This window comes from Homo sapiens, chromosome 12, assembly GCF_000001405.40.
Source record: "Homo sapiens chromosome 12, GRCh38.p14 Primary Assembly".
In the NCBI taxonomy this organism is placed as follows: Eukaryota; Metazoa; Chordata; class Mammalia; order Primates; family Hominidae; genus Homo; species Homo sapiens.
The window spans coordinates 29353566-29374207 of NC_000012.12; the positions used below are offsets into that span (position 1 = coordinate 29353566).

The window sequence follows — 20642 nt, forward strand, 5'->3', positions numbered from 1 at the left end:
CTCAAATTTGGAGTATTTTGAATGCTCCAAATTTGGAGCATTTTGAATTTCAGATTTTCAGATAAGGGATGCTCAACCTATACATTTTACTTCAATGATCTCTCTCACCACCCAGGATTTTACTCTGAGAGGAACAGAGAGCTGTTTTAAATAATATTTCCTTCTTTTTTTTTTTGTTAACAGGTGTATTCATTTTATGAAGTAACAGCATAAGTGAGCATCTTCTTCAAAAAATTAAATTTAAAAATCAAATTAAATCACCCTAGTACAGATGACTGTAGTTATCTGACACTTGTTAAAACTCTGCATAGGGAGGATGGATATTCAGAATTTACCTGTTTCTTTTCTGGGATATTTTCTACCCTATCAGACAAGAATCTAGCCTGAATGACTTTCAGTGGAGGAAAAGTTGTTCTGAAAATTGGTGGGGGGTGAAGAGAGGCATTTTGAGTTGTCAGAATTATTGGGAAGGGGTTGCTATTGGGATTTACTGGACAACAGCCACAGAAACAAGGCATCCTGCAATGAAATTGACAGTCTCACACAAAAAAGAATCATTCCAGGATTTGCCTGACTTTCAAATGTTCTAAGAGATACTCATGTACATGAAAAGCCTATTATAATAATCTGAGTCTAGAACTGAACCCCATTTAGCTATATAAAGTTGTAGTTTTAATATACACTAAATTTCCCAGAAAACTAAGGGAAGCTTATATTCTGTTTTGTTTAATATTACAAAGAGGTATTCCTATTTCTGAATATCATCTCATCAACGGAAATGTCACTCATGATATCTGAGTAGCCAATACATCTGTTTCAGTCTGCATTTGTAGCAATTATACACTTAAAAATTCTACATATAAGTGGCAAGCATCTGCCTACTTCATTATGTCTTCTAGTGTATTCACGCTCAAGCATATTGAAATACATATTGTGTTACAAATTATGTTCCTTTTATTACTCTTTTAAATTACAGTTGAGACTGACATTGTGTCTGAGAGGTAATATGAGACCTTCAAAAAGATCAATATTGAACTTGACAAATGTAACACTAAAAATTAGGAGTGGGTTTACAGGATATCCCTGAGATGACAAGATATGAACCAAATGCTTTTCTATTTGGCCTCTCTGATAGTGTGAGTTACCACCTGGGAAGGAAAGTGAAATTGTGAAAAGACCAAAAACAAATTTTAAAAAGGGACATAATATAGAGTCTGATTATAATATTTGTCAAAATTTCCCTCTTTGAGTTGGTTGTGGACTAGAATATTGTTTGTATCCAAAGGTGCAATAAAATCTGCTAAATTTCTTTAAGCTAAGATTTCAAGACATTCCAAGGTTCCCAGCAACAGGTTGGGTTGGAGATGGGTAATGGTAACAAAACAACAAAACATAAATTTCAAGAGATAATGAGGAAAAAAACAAATGTTTGATCTGAGTATTGTAAATACTGAAATACTTTTTCATAGAAATCTAATGTTATCTCTATATGTATTTTATAAACTTCCAGCCATGCTCTTTCCTGCTGTATGCCCTTCCCTCCTTTATATATTAAATTCCTCCTCTTCTCCTAGTGTTCAAAGGTCTTCCTCAATAAAGTCTCCACTGACTTGCAGCGTACATTTAATACCTTGTTAAATAGTCTCTTATCAGCCATACTTCTCCTTTACAGGCTCAATACAACTATAATTAAATAATTATTAATGTATTCACTGCTTAAGTGTGGATTTTCTTATAGAATGTCAGGCCTATTTAAAATAACAAGTCATATTTATACTGTATAGTTTGGAATAAAATAAATTAAAAAGGGCAAAAACCCTTTATTTTTTTCTTCACTGTTTATCCTTAGTTTCTAGCACAGTACTTTGCACATAGCAAGTACTCAAAAAATGTCTTGTACAATAAAGAATTGTTCAGTTCAGCACTCTATATGGAAAAGAAGGGAGGGAAAGATGGATGGATCTATTTATTCATTCAAAAATTTCACAAGTGTTTATGACAATTTCTGTGCTGAGTGCTGCTCATATTTTTCCTTAACTTTTACCTAATTTAACTTTATTCTAGACACTGCTAATTTCTAACTTTATCAAAACACTTATCTAGGATTAGTCAGGAATTACATTTTGATGAGGACCACCAAAACATTAAGACAAAAACCTAATAACATACCAAAAAAAATGAACAAATTAATGAAATGTCTAGGTAAGAGCTCTCTGGCCACTAAAACCTGGCAAGTAGAAGGCTGTAATTGATATTTACCTACAGTTCAGTTACTTTAATATACAAAACATGAGATGACTGTTTTACTTTTGTTTTGAAGTAGTTTTTAAAGTTAGTAGTCTTCTCTATCCTGAGACTGAAGCCCCAGACAACAATCTCAAGACATTAAAAATATATGTACACAATATTTTAAGCAAGCCTTTAGTAGTTAGCTGTATTTATTTGATTAGCAAAGTATTTACTTTTTTTTTTTTGGATACAGAGTTTTGCTCATCGCCCAGGCTGTAGTGCAGTGGCGCGATCTCGGCTCACTACAACCTCCGCCTCCTGGGTTCAAGCGATTCTCCTGCCTCAGCCCCTCGAGTATCTGGGATTACAGGTGCCTGCCACCACATCCAGCTAATTTTTTGTATTTTTAGTAGAGATGAGGTTTCAACATGTTGGGAAGGCAGTTCTTGAACTCCTGACCTCAGGTGATCCACCCGCCTCAGCCTCCCAAAGTGCTGGGATTACAGGCGCGAGCCATCGGCCAGAATTTACTTTTAACCAAGCTCCAACTTTGTCTAAAGTATTTTCAGTAAGTGAAAAGAACATACTTGCCCACTGTTATGTGAAAATTCCCTGCTACTTTATTGACATATAGATGGCCATGAATTCTGCATGCATTTGGAGACTGTGATGAATCATCTTCTCTGTTAAAATAAGATATATTATTTAAAGCACATTCAATACAGTTACCATTTTATGATGAGAAAAATGTGTATAGAAAAAAAAATCCCTAAAGATCATTTTTTAGGTAATATTCTAAATGTTAAAAATAGAATAGTTTCCTGAAGTCTAGACATTTATAAAAATTATACATCTATAAAATGGGAAAAAAGTATTTAATATCTATTACATTTACATAAATTTGAAATTCCATGGTTCTTCAACTCTAACCAGAGGACTAAGTCCAGTGACAGAAGACTAAAACAAAATAATTAGTCCAAAAAGACATATTTTTTTCATTTATTTCTGGTACTGTAGCAGGGAGAGGGAGGGAGGGCAGAAACATGATTGAGGTAAAGGAAAGGCATGCCACCTAAATTCAAAGAGACAGTGACATTTTCTTCCTAAGCAAATGTAAAATCTTGTATATTTTTATTATGTTTATGATTATAGCATTTCCAAATATCCACGAATCTTTTTTTTTTTTCTTTTGAGACACAGTCTTGCTCTGCTACCCAGGCTGGAGTGTAGTGGTGCAATCTTGGCTCACTGTAACCCCGCCTCCTGGGTTCAAGCTATTCTCCTGCCTCAGCCTCCCAAGTAGCTGGGACTGCATACATGCACCCACCACACCCAGCTAATTTTTTTGTATTTTTCGTAGGGACGGAGTTTCACCATGTTGGTCAGGCTGGTCTCGAACTCCTGACCTCAAATGATCCGCCCACCTTGGCCTCCAAAAGTGCTGGGATTACAGACGTGAGCCACTGCGCCCAGCCTCTAATCTTTAATTAAAATACAAAAACGGGAAATAAAACAAAATTTCTAACCAAAGCTTATATATCCTCAAAATAGTAAATGAAACTAATTTTTCTTAAAACTCAATATAATTTTATGTGGGGGTATACCACGCATAAAAAAGAAAATTAAATGCAAATAAATATTTGTGATAATTCTGATCAAAATCACAGGCTATAAATTTAAGAGCAAAAGGCGTCTTTATAGTACAGAATGATTCTATTTTCCCTTCCTAAGAAAAATAAGATTCAGAAAACTAAACCAACACTTTAGTTTTAACTATGTCAAAGTAAATTCATAATAAACAGTTGCACATTTAAAATACAGATCTCACCTTGGTGGAAGAGCTGTTGATGTACTTTTAAAAGCACTTTTAAATATCACATCTTGAAGTGAATGCTCTTCTTGTAGCCTACTCTGAATCAGCTGCAGCATCCTAAATAAGAAGCAATAATTTAGAACTACAGAAAGGTACACAAAGAGAGCTGACACTTATTCAAAAATGACAATGTTTAGCTGACTTAGTTAAATCATACATTTATTATTACAGGATTTCATATTCTAAAATAACATACCAAGTTTTCTTTGGTCATTTCCTTGAAAGCAAATGAGGCAGGGTGGCTAAGAGGTCTAATAGCTGAGCTCCATAAGCTTGTTTGATTCCATCAGTAATGGATGTGCCATCAGGACCACCAAAGTAGGGCTTCTACTCACTTAAGTATCTCAATTCATCTTTCATGCATACATGCACAATTAACAAAATTCTTATCTTTGTCAGACACTGAATGAAATATTGTAGATACAAAGAGTAGGACAAATAAGGGGCTACACAATGGACTTGATGGACTTGAAATGGTACATTACTCAGTATAAACTCATACCACAAGTAACTGATTTTCACTACAAAAATTTTTCTCTCTACAATACTTCTACCATTGAGCCATGTTAACTCCTACAATTTTCAGCAATAACTTTGTGTCATTAGATGTAGTCCTATTTTATCTCTTTTAATTCTATTTCTTCAAATAACTAATATTCCAAATCATCTGTAGTAAAGTTCAAACTTGGTAAGTACAAATGTTATACACAGTGGGAAGGGAAGAATAAACAGGCAGAGCACAGATAATTTTTACAGCAGTGAAATCATTCTGTATGGCAGTATGGTAGATACATGTCCTTATACATTTGTCAGAACTCACAGAATGTACGTTCAACACCAAGAACGAACTCTAATGTAAACTATGGTGATGATGATGTGTCAACATAGGTTCACTGATTATAACAACTATATCCAATCTGATGCAAGTTGTTGATAATGGGGGAACCTGTAGCGGGACGGGTATATAGGAACACTACTTTCTGCTCAATTTTGCTGTGAGCCTAACTACTCTAAAAGAAAAATACATACATGTAACTTGGAAAAAAGTTATAAACATAGGTACTCACAAAAAGAAAGCAAATGTGAATCTCATAATACTTTACCATCCCACCATAATGATAAAATAAGTACTTTCTAGATGTGCAAGCAGAAGATTAAAAACTTATGCATCATCTATCTAGAAAATTAGTATAACAGGCCTATGTAAAATAACAACTCATATTTATACTGTATAGTTTGGAATAAAATAAATCTGAAATCTCGACATAAAAAGTAGAAACCAGAAAGGTTCTGTCCAGGGTTTGAAATTTACAGTTAAAGAGAGATTAATTGTGATCCTAAATATTTTAGGAAAGTATTATAGAACACCAACTGAGAGAAAATTTAAATCTCTTAGAAAATTCTAGAAGTAAAGAACATTTTGGTATGCACATTAGTTAGGAAGATATCTACCTTGGGTATCTCTAGGCCATTCAAGAGCTATTTAATAATGTTTAGAATCAGAACGTGATAATCTAGGATGCTTCAAGAAGCCAGATCCCATCTTCAGATTCAGACATTTAAAGACATTGAATCTTTGACATTGAATCTTTGGATTCAATGCCAGCAGAAATGGAAATCTTCACTTTTTTTGTGTCTTGTAATTCGAGAGATCAACTTTTGAAGCATGGCAGTGATCAAGGGGTTTGATGACAACAAACTATACATACGTGTATATGTATGTATATATTATGTGTGTTTATGAAAAAAATTTCTGCCTTCACTGTGCCAATAAATATCCCAGCCTATATTCCACACATGAAAGTATGCAGAAAACTACTATGATGGCAAATTTATATCATCTTAATAGTAAAAATACAATCTCTTCTCCCACTTATTACTAGTTTCGAGCATTGAAAAAAATTCTAAATGAAAGGAGAAATCTCACTTTAATGTTTCTGGATCAAAGTAAAGTATTTCATCTGTGGATGGCTTTCTACTAAAAATTCTAAGAGCCCAGAGACAGCTAATATTCAGTGCTTTTGTTCACCCACATTCAAGTGGTGAAACTGGAAATTAAAAGAGAAAGACTCTTGGAATATACTTAGGGACTAGGGAAAAAAAAACGGGTAAAGAAAAATTTTTTGGAATAATCTTAAACTATATAAAGCCTTTATAAGTGCAAGACATAACCTAGAAAATAAAAAGCAATATATGGGGGTGGGAGACGGAAGCACTTATAACAAAGTACTATTTTCTTTAATTTAAAAATAATTCTTCTAAGAAAACTAACCAAGCAAAATAGGCACATAGGCAAACATTTTCACAAAAAAATACAAATAAGGAAAAAAACCTCACAACTGATTCATAAAGAAATGTTAATTAATAAAAGCATAGTACCAATTTTCACCCATCAAACTGGCATACATTTAAAAAAATTCTAGGCATTCCTGTTGTTGGTGAGGTTGTACAGAAACAAGTACTCTAATATAGCCTTTTGGAGTATAAGTGAAATAATAATTTGGGAGGATATAGGCACTATCAAAATGTTAAATATCCTCAGAGAAAGAAATTCTATTTCTAGAAATACACACACACACAAACATGTACAGAATTAGGTTCAAGAATGTTCATTGAGTATTGTTTTTAATATTAGAATTCTAAAAGCAATCTAAATATGCATCAATAAGGATCCAATTAAATAAACTACAATCTATCCATAAAATAGACCATTATATATATAGAAATGAATCCAAAATATCATGTTAGGTGGAAAAAAGCAACTTATTTCTGTATATATATTTCTGTATAGAAATAATTATATGTTTTTAAATATAACACATTATAAAAATATATAAATATGATATATTATAAAATATATAATGAATATATAAACTTTTATATATTATAAATATATAATATACTCATATATGATATACAAGAACTATATATACAATTATGTACTATATATTATATAGATTATATGTAAGAATTATCATAATTTTGTATATATATACACAGAAATATATATAATATACATATTATATACATACACAGAAAATGTCTGTCTAGAAGGCTACCCAAGAAACTTATCACTGGTTATTACTGCTAGTCAGTGGCATTAGTTTACAGAAAGAGAAGGGGGCTTTTACATTTACTTTGTATCTGGGTGCCCAATCTTTTGGCTTCCCTGGGCCACACTGTAAGAAGAATTATCTTGGGCCACACATAAAACACACTAACTATAGCTGATCAGTTAAAAAAAAAAGAAAATCACAAAAAAATCTCATAACTTTTTCAGAAAGTTTACAAATTTGTGGCCGGGCACAGTGGCTCATGCCTGTAATCCCAGCCCTCTGGGAGGCCAACATGGGCGGATCACTTCAGTTCAGGAGTTCAAGACCAGCCTAGTCAACATGGTGAAACCCTATCTCTACTAAAAATACAAAAAATTAGCTGGGCATGGTGGTGTGTGCCTGTAGTGTGCGCCAGCTACTCAGGAGGCTGAGGCAGGAGAATCGCTTCAACCTGTGAGGTGGGGGTTGCAGTGAGCCAAGATTGCGCCACTGTACTCCAGCCTGGCAACAGAGTGAGACTCTGTCTCAAAAAAAAAAGAAGTTTACAAATTTGTGTTAAGCTACATTCAAAGCCTTCCTGTGGGGCCGCAGTCTGGACAATCTTGCTTTATATCATTTCTATTCAAATTGAATTTTTAAAATGATCATATATTACTTTTGTAATCAAAAAATGTAAATAGTTGATACCATTTTAAATAAAAACTAAAACTTATGAATCAAAGTTTACCAGAGAAAAGATTATGCATGACTTTCTTAAGATCTGATGGTTTTTGAAATTGTAAGGATTATATTATATACCAAATTCTGCTAAGAATTCATCCAAAGAAATCCCTAGAGAAATGTGTTAATCTATAAATAGTTTACAATAGACAAAATATGACTTAGATTTCTATGGACCACAATACTTTGTTCTCTTATTACCTCTGCCACTCTTTCTGCTGTGGTGAAAGATCAAATACTGTCTGAAATGAAAGAAAACATAATCACTAGCATTGTCAAATTCTCTTGGCTTTTACATCATAATTTAAAATTTTTTCTTTGAGCAGGAAACATAAACTTAAGTGTTGTTAAAAACAAGTATTCATGGTTTACATTCAACTTCTATAAGTCAAATTAAAATTTTAATGTGCTATCTTTACTGAAAAATAGCATAAAGAAATTTTCTAATCACAAATACTTTCCTGTTACAGTTATCGACATTTACAGGAATATATGCAAGTTGACAATTTATCATATGTACAAAATGGTATCCTAGGGCTTAAAATCATTTAAATGATGCTAGCATGAAATTCACAAGTATTAGGGTACAAAAATACAGAGTTATATTCAAGCATCCAAAGCCCAAATTCTTGCTGGTAAAATACAATAATAAAATCAACAATTTTTGAAATGAGTTTAAAAATAGCACAGTTAATTCCCAAATGCATTGATCAACAAAGAACTACTTAAGAAATTTTATCTAGGCATGATCAAAGTTAGACTTGGCTACTTGCAGAGTCAGAGAAAAATATGCAAACTTCTCATAGTAGCTATATCCACAATTTAATTTTGCAACAATAATCCACTTTTCGGCCGGGCATGGTGGCTCAAGCCTGTAATTCTAACACTTTGGGAGGCCAAGACAGGCGGATTGCCTGAGCTCAGGAGTTCAAGACCAGCCTGGGCAACATGGTGAAACCCTGCCTCTACTAAAATACAAAAAAACCCTGTCTGTACTAAAATACAAAAAATCAGCTGGTGGTAGGCACCTGTAATCCCAGCTACTCAAGAGGCTGAAGCACGAGAATTGCTTGAACCCGGGAGGTGGAAGTTGCAGTGAGCAGAGATCTTGCCAATGCACTCAGTCTGGGACACAAAGTGAAACTCCGTTTCAAAAAAAAAAAAAATCCACTTTACTAGTCCTAGTTCACAGCTCTACTTCTGTGATTTGATTTTTTAATTTAATTACATCAATCTGGAACATGCCTCTCCGGTAACTGTGAGAGCCTCATGTCTAAGTTTTATATAACTATATGCTTCAAGTTAAATTGTCCCAATCTTTCTGATGTTTCCTTTGATTACACCTCCTGATGAATTTGCCTAAAGCATGCTACCAAACCTTTTTCACATTATAGCATATAAGGAAAATGCTAACATCTATAAAACACAACACAGCAAACCAATAAGGCTGTTGGCAGTTACTCTCCAGCTAATGTATAAATAAAATGATTGACAGTGGCGACTATATGATTTTTCCTTTGAATTCCAAAACCTTCTTTGTACAATGTTTACTTAGCACAAAGGTATAAAGAAACTACTTTGTAGGCCCTATGCTAATTCATTATCTCACTTAACCTTCCTAACCACCTCGTGAATTTTTTACTCCTCTTCCCTTTTTGCACATGAGGAAGCAGGAGCTCAAAAAGTTACAAACTTTCCAAAATCACAGATAGTAAGTAACAACCAATACACAAATTCAGCTCTGTCAGATTTCTTACTTTCCCACCTTTTAAAAATTCTTCTTGTCTTTAAATAGTAACTAAATGCAATAGAAATAGCAGAATAGTAACTATCATAGCATATTGTATGATCATGGCTTGTAAACTAGTAAAGTTATCAGGGCTAGGTTTTTAATATTCAGAGTGCATATTAAAATAATGAGTGAAAAATTTTTAAGTTAAAATGATATTTTTAATAATTTTATATTAAAAATAATTCTTAAACACTTTTATATAAATTAGCACAAAGGAATGAATAGTTTCCTAAAAGCATGGTTAAACACTTTAAATATTACTAATGAAAAGTATACAATTAAATATTTTGAAGTTCTTAACTTTCTCATTAAGATACAATTTTTAATTATAACAATTTAAATAAAATTTTCCTGCTCCATAAACTACTAGAAGAGATGGCAGAAACTGTTTACAATGAAAACAGTCAACAATACTGTCCCAACTGCTTAATTCTAACATATCACTATTGCCTAAAATCTGCAAAGCATTTTGCAATGCATTTTGAGAACTACAAAGATGAAAGAATGAAATTAATGATTCTCAAGAGCTTAAAATCCAGCTAGAAAGATAAGAGATGTAGGGGGAAAAAAAAAGATAGCATCAGGCATCTCATAAATGTGAAAAAAAAAAAAAAAGAGAGTGACCACAACAGTTAGAATATGGACAGAATGCTAGAGAAACAGTGTAAGTGACTTTTAGAGGATACATTCAAGATTATAATACATAAACAATAATTCTCAGCATCCAAAAGAAACATAAAAATGAGGATGCAACCTTTATTATCATCTTAAATCATTTTAAATTAATATTCATATGCTGTAAACTTTCATGAATTTATACAAGACAACATACAAATGAAACCAAATTGAGAAAGAGCACAAAATAAGTTTATTTCATAGGATAGAAAAACCCATGTGAAAGGGATTTTCCCAGTTCAGAGCAACAGAGAAAATGGGTAATAAAAGATAATAGCAGAAGATACAGGCAGTCATGCTAGAATCCATAAAACATACCTACACATTCTTGCTGTAAAATAAATCTCAAAAAGTCCCCCCTCAACAGAATGGAGAATCCAGAAATCAAGCTGCACACCTGCAGCCATTTGATCTTTGACAAAATCAACAAAAATAAGCAATGGAGAAAGGACTCTCTATTCAATAAATGGTGCTGGGAGAGCTGGCTAGCCATATGCAGAAGAATGAAACTGGGCCCAGATCTTTCACCATATACAAAAATTAACTCAAGATGGGTAAAGATTTAAATGACCTTAAACTATAAGAATCCTAGAAGAAAACCTAGAAAACACCATTGTGGGCATCACCCTTGGGAAAGAATTTATGACTATGTCCCCACAAGCAATTGCAACAAAAACAAAAATTGAAAAGTGGGAGCTAATTAAACTAAAGAGCTTCTGCACAGAAAACAAAAACAAAAACTACCAACAGAGTAAACAGACAACCTACAGAATGTGAGAAAATATTCACAAACTATGCATCTGATAAAGGTCTAATATCCAGAATCTATAAGGAATTTAAATAAATTGAACATGTAAAAAACAACCCCATTAAAAAGTCGGCAAAGGACATGAACACACACTTCTCAAAAGATATACAAGTGGTCAACAAACATGAAGAAATGCTCCATATCAGTAATCATAAGAGAAATGCAAATCAAAACCACAATGAGAGGCCATCTCACACCAGTCAGAATGGCTATTACTAAAAAGTCAAAAAGAAAAAAAAAAAAAAGATGTTGGAGAGGCTGTGGAGAAAAGGGAACACTTATATGCTGCTGGTAAAAATGGAAATTAGTTCAGCCACTGTGGAAAGCAATTTGGAGAGTTCTCAAAGAACGTAGAGTATTATTTAACCCAGCAATCCCATTACTGGGTATATACTCAAAGGAAAATAAATCATTGTATGCAAAAGACACATGCACTCTGATCTTTATTGCAGCACCATTCACAATAGCGAATACATGGAATCAACCTAGGTACTCATCAGTGGTACATGGGATAAACAAAATGTGGTATACATGCACCAGGGAATACTATGCAGCCATAAAAAAGAAGAAACTTTTATCCTTTGCAGCAACATGAATGCAGCTGGAGGCAATAATCCTAAGCAAATAAATGGCAGGACAGAAAACCATACACCATATGTTCTCATTTATAAGTGGGAGCTAAACGCTGGGTACTCATAGACATAAAAATGGCAACAACAGAAAGTGGGGACTATTAGAGAGGGGAGGGAGGGAGAAGGAAAAGGATTGAAAAACTACTAGTTATTATGCCCAGTACCTGGGTGATGGGATCAATCATAACCTGAAAACCTCAGCATTACACAATATACTCAGGTAACAAACCTTCACATGTACTCCATGAATCTAAACTAAAAGTTGAAAAAACAGTCCCTCTTCAAAATGATAAACAAAAATAAGGTAAGAATGGCAGAAAATTAAAAAAAAAAAAACAAAGTTAAAGTTAAATAAGTATTCTTAAGATAGTATAAAATGTAATACAAATATTAAAATATCTAATAATAATCACTTAGATCAAAATGAGCAGATAATAGTGTAATATGCTGTCATATATGAATCTGTAAGGTAACTAAGCTCATAAAAAATTACTTCAAAATCGATTTTTTGAGTGGGAAAACGAGTCAGAAAGTAGAGTCAGAGTGGCAATAACAAAAGTTACTGTTTCTGTAGAAATTTCTATTTAAAATGTATATGTCAAAAGGCACATATCAAGTTTGTAGCTGTAAACTAAAATTAATTCAATAATCAAAACTGGCCAAGGACTTCATTTTCTTTCCTTTAACCCCATACATTCAGTCACTTCTACTCCCCCTCCTTCACCTTCACTCTTCACTTTGCAAATTTGCTAAAAGAAAGGTTCACAATTGTCAATGATTAAGAAAAGGAACTCAAGAACGCATGCGTAAATTTAAGTACCACCATGCCAACAGAGCAACTTTTAGCTGCTGAGGGCCTCATGCTTATTCTCGAAAGCTTATTTAGGGCTAGTTCTGATCATGACTCGTTATCACTGTATCTGCCACTGAAATGTGACAATATTTTCTGATAAATCTACGATGTTATATTCAACTTGTGCTCTGAAGATAATAAGAAAATGTCAGCATTTCACACGCTGAGGGAAATAGAGGCGTAAAGGAGGAAGGAAGTAGTAATGCCCATGACATTTCTCCTCTTAGAAAGATACTACTTTATTCTTGATTGTAAGAGAAATACAGTTCAAATATTTTAAATACTTAAATTTGGTCATAGTAGAATACAAACAGGACATAAAAGTTTCCAAATTACTAGAGAAAAAGAAAAAAACTCATCACTATAACTAGAAGAAAAGTGAAAAGGAAACTACTGGAAAGTAATAACAAAAATATTAAAAAAGGTTATAAAACAGACTTTAGACACATCCAAAATACATCCAAAATGTTAATAATGGTCACCTCAAGATTTTGGTATATAATATAACTTTTCTGTTTTTCCCCCTAAATTTATTACAAAGAATATGGATTACTTTTGAAATAAAAGAATTATACTAAAAACTATTTCAGACAAAACTAAAAGCAACTATCTGTCTTCAAGCGTACGATTCCTCAACCCGTGTATTTCAAAAAACCATGTGAATCAAACTTACTGGTTCATAAACTAAACCATCTGCAGATGCAACCATTGTTTCTGCTAAATCCAATACATCCGCTCCAACATCTGCATAGAAAAAAGAATTAGAAGTTTTACATTCTATGCTTGGAGGCAAACCATCCCCAATATAAACAAATTAAGCCAACTAACAGAAAACTCACCAAGCAAAAAAAAAAAAAAAACCTCACCAACTATGTAGAATAATTTCCGATATATTTGTCCAAAAGCTAAAACAGTAGCCTTATATAGCTTAGGTGGAGATTATTCCAAAATGTAATAATGTTTTTTCTTACCCAGTAAAAAACTTCTTACCCAATAAAAAAAAAAAGATAATTCAAGATCTCATTTAAAAAGGATAAGCGTCACTGAATTGAAGAGCTTTGCAAATATCGGCAAGAACCTAATCACAAGTACTAAGTGGCTGCTGAACAAAATATTAATTCCAAGAAATATTTTTAGAGATTAAAAGAAATCGTAAAGCTATGCTACAAATCAACAAATAGGAAATTTTATTCGGAAAAGGCTAAAATTTAACAGTATTTAAACATCCAAAATAAGGCAGAATATCATATATTCAGAATTACCACTAACTACAAGTTTAAAAATAAAGTATTTTTTTATCTCTTAAAACCACCAACATAAGGAAAAACATATTGAAAAGAAAGAGATTCAAGGTCGTTCTGAGATAGAATCTCACAGAAAATAACCTCTAATTAATTGGGTAAAATTATTTCATACTTTTAAAAATGTAAAAATTTTCTCTGAGTTCTTGGTCTGTAATTTTTAAGCAGTAACTCATAAAATATTTTTCATGCAAAAGCATTCTTATTTTTGAAAACAGTATTGATTCAAACATTCACTATCTGGCATATTAGCATTTTTCCACTTCTATTAGTATAACCAAGTGAGTCCAGTGACGAAAAAAGAAAAGGGTAACCTATCACCATTAACTTAAAATAACTGGATCTGTATTTTTAAACGCAAGAGTAAACATAAAAGGTGGTAAACTGAAACAGTGACACAAGGATATGCTTGTGAAACATGGGTATAAAAGCTAGTACTCCAAACAAAAAAAGACAGAAAGGATGTACATAAACTAGAATGCTGATTCACAAACATTTCCTCCAACTTTCTTTTAATTATACTAATGTGAAAGTTTTATCTCTTCTCTTTATGGAAAAGAAACTTGAAGAATATAAGCTGAGGAGTAAAACAATTTGTATTATTAAATAATACCACAGTAAAACTTTAAAATATTATAAAGGAAAAATAAAGTACAACCAGTGATTTTTATTTTTGCTTGGCAATTGTTTGAACCATAACCTACATGTGGATTCAGCAAGTTGAAGGTGTACTTACATTGACACTTCATGGCAACAGTAATATCTATATTAATTCTTAATTTGCTGAAAGACAAAATATTAAACATTAGTACCTACCAATTAATTAGCAAAACATGAGAAATATAAATCAACTGACCTATTAAAAACTTGGATTTCAAGCAGAATAAATTATGTCGATTAGAACTTGAATTGCATTTCTCATGGCCAAAACAAAGGCTCTTTAAATTACAAGTTCTATTTTGCCCTTATTCCAAAAGCCTTTCTGACTTCACAGGTTTTTGAACACAGTATCCTTTAATAATGGCAACTCTATAATCAATAACTCTAAGCAACTCAGAAAAAGTCTTAACCTCTTAATCTCTATTTACATAAACTTTTGATAGAATGTTCTTTTAAGAATGTAAAACTCTCAAAATCAAGAATTAGGAATTGTCTTTCTTCTCTGTTTATCAAACACCATATATTAAGCATGATGCTAGATGTTCTACAAATATTATCTCCTTTATTCTATATCATGGAGCTATAAATGGATGGCTTCACAGATTTTCAAGTAAACCACTGGTGTTCACGGTAGTGTAAATACCTGGCTTAAGATCACATCACCATTAAAGTGGCATACTGGAAACTAGGTCTATGTAACTCAGGATAAATGCAACCAAACTACCAAAAGTAAATCACCTGATGCTTAAAATTTTTCATGGCCTTTCATTTTCAAATGATTAGATCAAAGCAATTTTCGAATACCAGAATGAAGCATTGCGAATAATAGACTGGCTATGATCAAATTCAGTCCTGTGCTTTCTATGATAACTTTTTTCTGTGTAATAATTTTCATCTGATTTAAAATAGGAATTACAGATTTTTAGACCTTCATGAAGTCTTAAAGTCATCTAGAGTTCAAACTGTGTTCCAAATAACCCAGGAGTTTAGGCTCAGGAGATAGGAACCAGGAGTAGGCCAAGTAGACAAACTTCTGCATATCCTCACCATGCTTATGTGGCGAACTATGTAATACATAAGACTTCATTTGGAAAAAAATGAAGTATTGCATTGGTGCTGAAAACAACAACAAATTCTTTGAAAACCAATACTATCCTGAATAGTACATTAGAGATGAAGAAACTGAAGTCCAAAAGAAGTCAGTGGTGTGACCTGCCCAAGGTTACACAGCAATTTACAAATGTTGACTAATTTAATTCTCATAAACCTCTTGAGGAAGATACTATAATTGCTGTCTGTACTTTACAAAAAAGGAAACTGAAGCATATACAGGTGCAGATTTAGTAAATTCCCTAAAATTATGTAAATGGCAAACCTGGATTGTAATTGAAAACTAAATGTGTCTTCCTATTTGGTGCAATCTTAATATTATAAACCTATTATCTTCATTCCATTGAAGAAATCCAAATAATACAAACGAATAGATGTAAAGTGTATAATTAAGGTACTATATTTTCAAAAGTTTAAAAGTAATCTTATTTACATAAAGATTTAGCTTAGGTATAATTTATAGACATCAAGTCATAAGGGTATACAATGTATCCTTAGACAACTTATTTTCCAGCTCACACAGATCAGTGAGGTATTTCAACCAGTTTCAAATATTAAACAATTTCCACAATATACATATCTAAGGAAAAATATTCCCCTAACTTTTTGAAACAAAGCATGCTAAATCAAAGAACCTCAGTTTTAGAATTCAACCACTATTTAAATGATTCTAAAAGGTTTCACTTAATGCATGCAATTAATGAGAATTTTTCAGGACTATTTCTTCAGAACTAAAACAAACCAAATCTAGAAGGTTAGACTTTTTCTTTTTTAAAAGGTATGCTCTTTTTAAAACAATTTGAATCTAAAGGTATTCCAAGAAGAAAAAAAATGATTACCTAGAAAAATCCTTGTCTACTTCGTATTCATACTTCATCCATGTATCTTGATATACTGAGAATTCCATTATGGTTAATAAAGCCATAGTTGTAAATGCTATTAGAGAAACTGGGAAATCCAACAACAAAAGAAAAACAGAATTAAAACAATAAAAAAAGCAAAGAATAGGAAACTAATTTAAGTGAGATTAAATTTTCAAAAGAAAAAGCCTAATAATGTAACTTCCATTTGAATGCATACTATAGAAGGTTTTTATTCAAAATGTTTATTATGCATTTTTTCTAATACAGCTCAAAAGTTAAGGTTTAATATATACAAATATGAACATAAACACTTGCATTACTAAGAAAGCATTTTATTTCTCCAATTTTAAGGGCATCTCTCACTAAGTAGAGTTGACAAAATTTGTATTTCTTATATAAAACAGTGTCACAGATAGGATAAATGATGAAAGTAAGCATGCCTTATAGCACAAATTTGAAAACAGTTGCTTCATTATTAAAAATGCATCCATGTCTATAAATATAATTTGTATATAAATGTATATAAATTGGGCTATAAGCCCAATTTAAAACAAACAAAAAGGTAGCCTAATTTCTTAGATCCTGAGAAACCACAATAATCTGTGTGCCAGAAACTCAAATAACATCTCTAAATAGCTAACAAAACTCTCCTCTACTTGGCAATCTCCTAAATATATCACCTCATTCACAGAACTGAGTAAAAGATCTGACAAAAAGAAAATCTATTATATACTAAAGCAAAATACTTAAAATAGATTTTGCAAGAACTTGCACTATTTTCATTAACAAAACTTAATCACAAGTGGATCAGAAATAGTAAGCAACTTATTACCCATTTTACCAAATAAAATGTCAACCTTAAGTGAAATACATTATTTTACTACCTTTTCATAGGGAAAGAAATTATACTGAATATTGTTATAGTCACACATTTTTCTTATATATTTCATTATTTATTTTACTTAACTGATACTTTTATCTGTACCAGGCACTGGGTCTAAGCATTTTATGAAAATATTAATAGTATAGTAACCCCTAGGAGGTAAATACTAGTATGATCCCTATTTCATGGAAGAAACTAAGACAGATAGATTTGAATAACTTCCTCAAGGTCACATATTTAGGAAAGGGCAGCAAAGCAGAAACATTGGTTTAATGTATTAATGTTTTAATAAACACTGCCAAAGGCACAGATGGCACTGTGTTGGAGGCTATAGAGAATATTAATAAGAATTACAGCCAACAGAGTGGCATGAAGACAGACAAGTTACGAAGTTACGGCAGAATTCATTGATAAATTCTTCCTCATGGCTACATTTCTATATGTTGTTGACTGGATCACGCAGAAGTTGTACTTACTACAGAACTTTTAATGTTAACTGATACTCACCTGTACCTCCACTGGCTGAAGTCTCTACATAGCTCTCAGGAACCTTCGGAAAGGCATCCAACTCTTTTACCAAACTTAAAGTTTTTTTCCGATTCAGTCGCCTCATCTTCAGGAAAACCTTCCTCTTCCTTCATATAGTCATGCTAAGGAATAAATAAATTAATGAATAAATGAATCCTTTAAAGAGATAAAAAGGTTTCTTTAAATTTAGGATAACTGACAAATGTCCTTAAAACAACTTAACATTCTCATCCCCCCTTAAAAATAAAAAGCATAGTATTTATCCACACTACTCCTTTCCCCATTCATGCCCTGACAAAAACTACTAATGGAAGGCAATTTAAATACAAAAACACATTATATAGCAAGAAAAAAAGTGAAAAGTAATTCAATCACATGAATAATGTCTAAATATAAAAATTAAGATAATGTTTTCTATTAAATTGAAAACTATATAAAAATAATACACTTCCAATAATGAATGACAGTGAAGTAAAATGGCCTGCTCATACATTACTAACAAGAATATAGGCCAGGCACGGTCGCTCACGCCTGTAATCCCAGTACTTTGGGAGGCCGAGGCGGGTGGATCATCTGAGGTCAGGAGTTTGAGAAACCAGTCTGGCCAACATGGGAAAACCCCATCTCTACTAAAAATACAAAAAATTAGCCAGGTGTGGTGGCACGTGCCTGTAGTCCCAGCTACCTAGGAGGCTGAGGCAGGAGAATCGCTTGAACCTGGAAGGTGGAGGTTGCAGTAAGCCAAGATCATGCCACTGCACTGCAGTCTGGGTTACAGAGTGAGACTCCATCTCAAATAAAAATAAAAATAATAATAATAATAATAATGGAAGAAGAAGAAGAAGAAAGAAGGTGGGAGAAAGCGGGAAAAGGCGGGAGAAGGGAGAAGAAGAAAAAGAAGAAGAAGACATTTACCACACCACTCCTCTTCTAAGTAAATGCCCATTGAGGAATTTATCCTATGACAATAACCTGCGGTTTTAACCAAAATTTGATTACGAGGATATTTCTCACAGTGTTATTTTTAAATACTGAAGACAGAAACAAATCCATTGTATCCAATGTACAAATTAAGGTGAAGCATCTTTACGTAGCCATTGAAAATCTTTTTTTTTTCTTTTTTTGAGACAGGATCTTGCTCTGTCACCCAGGCTGGAGTGCAGTGGCGTGATCTCAACTCACCACAATCTCAGCCTCCCTGGCTCAAGCGATCCTCCTCGCCTCAGCCTCCCAAATAGCTAGGACTATAGGCATGCACCTCCACCCCCAGCTAATTTTTGTATTTTTTGTAGAGACGGAGTTTCACCTTGTTGCCCAGGCTGGGTCTCAAACTCCTGGGCTGAAGCCTTCCACCCACCTCGGCCTCTCAAAAAAAGTGCTGGGATTATAGATGTGAACCACCACACCTGGCCTGAAACTCTTTTATTTAAAAAAAAAAAAATTAATGACATAAGAAAATAGTCATGATACTGATACAATAAGAAAAGACTAGAAGGTCACATGGATCCTAACTTTATGGGAGACAGGAAAAGATACATAAGAAACAAAACTGAACATCTACACACAAAAATGTTAAAAGTAGATCATGAATTTTAATTGCCTTTACATATAACTTCAGATTTCCCATGTTATCTATTTTTATAATCAAAACATTTAAAAATTGGCTGCTTGCTATTTATCAGCACGTCATCTACATCTAAAAATGTTATAAAGCCAATCAAATAACTGAATTCTTAGATATTTACATAATTTTTATGACTGATTTATAAATAATACTATAGGTAATATTATAAAGAATTCCCAGTAATCAAGGCTTTATTAATAAAATCAACACATAATAGAATAAATCGTACAGTTGCAGAAGTCACTATAAGAGAAATAATGTCTCTGGAAGAGAGCAGACAGACTTTGGGTCTGAAATCTAATGGGGAGGATTAATATACAAAGAATAGGCAAAAGAAAGAAGATTCATAAAGAAAAAGAAGGGCCAGAGAATGAAAAACTGGCAGTAAACATGAATACTGTCTAAAGGAAAGAAGCTCTGACCAGGAGCACTATTTATCAGTCCAGCAGGGAGCTACTACTCTACAGTAGAGTTGAAAGCATTAATACATTGATTTCCTCTGCCATTAAAATCAACCAACTAAACTTCCCTTGCTGGTTCCACACTCACAAAGCAGCCTTCGAATTATGATTTTTTTCCCATGCACTTAGTATTCGAAAGAAAAAAATAGATGTCATAGACAAAACAGATGACAGTTTTCTGACCCCCACGTCAGTTATAAAACTGGTATTCCCATCGATAAATTAAGCTTCTGAATGTTTGTTATGTATATGCCATGCCCGCTAAACTTGTTTAGCTCTGATAATCAAATTTATTTTCTGTACCTTTTTAGTAGTAACTGCACAAAAACTGACCCTTTTTCAATCTTTCAATTTCTACTCTTTCTGATTTGAGTAAAATATTAAATATCTGTATGTCTCTTCTCTTTAAAACAGAACTCTCCCTTAAACTCAAGTCCAACTCCAACAATACATCTCTCGCAGCACACCTACAGCCAACTTAAAAGAATGAGTTGTCCCCATTCATCTACTGTGACTACTTCCTCACCCAACTCTCACCTCTTAACTAAATTTGCTCTGAGCAAGGTAATTAACT

General features: G+C 32.8%; 1 protein-coding gene across 3 annotated transcripts in view; it reads right to left on the reverse strand.

Moving 5' to 3' along the window:
- The window catches only part of ERGIC2 (ERGIC and golgi 2), a 43821-nt gene that overhangs the window by 16214 nt on the left and 6965 nt on the right, over positions 1 to 20642 (reverse strand). For all 3 annotated transcript variants that reach the window (XR_001748741.3, NM_016570.3, XM_024449009.2), the window contains exons 2-8: positions 17963 to 18105; positions 16549 to 16657; positions 14676 to 14722; positions 13312 to 13382; positions 8080 to 8120; positions 4058 to 4159; positions 2817 to 2912 (exon numbers count right to left, since the gene is read on the reverse strand). Coding sequence is in view for 2 of the 3 variants with exons in the window: in NM_016570.3 (NP_057654.2) it covers positions 2817 to 2912; positions 4058 to 4159; positions 8080 to 8120; positions 13312 to 13382; positions 14676 to 14722; positions 16549 to 16657; positions 17963 to 18068 (572 nt within the window). In the remaining variant the exon portion in view is untranslated. The remainder of the gene's footprint in view (positions 1 to 2816; positions 2913 to 4057; positions 4160 to 8079; positions 8121 to 13311; positions 13383 to 14675; positions 14723 to 16548; positions 16658 to 17962; positions 18106 to 20642) is intronic.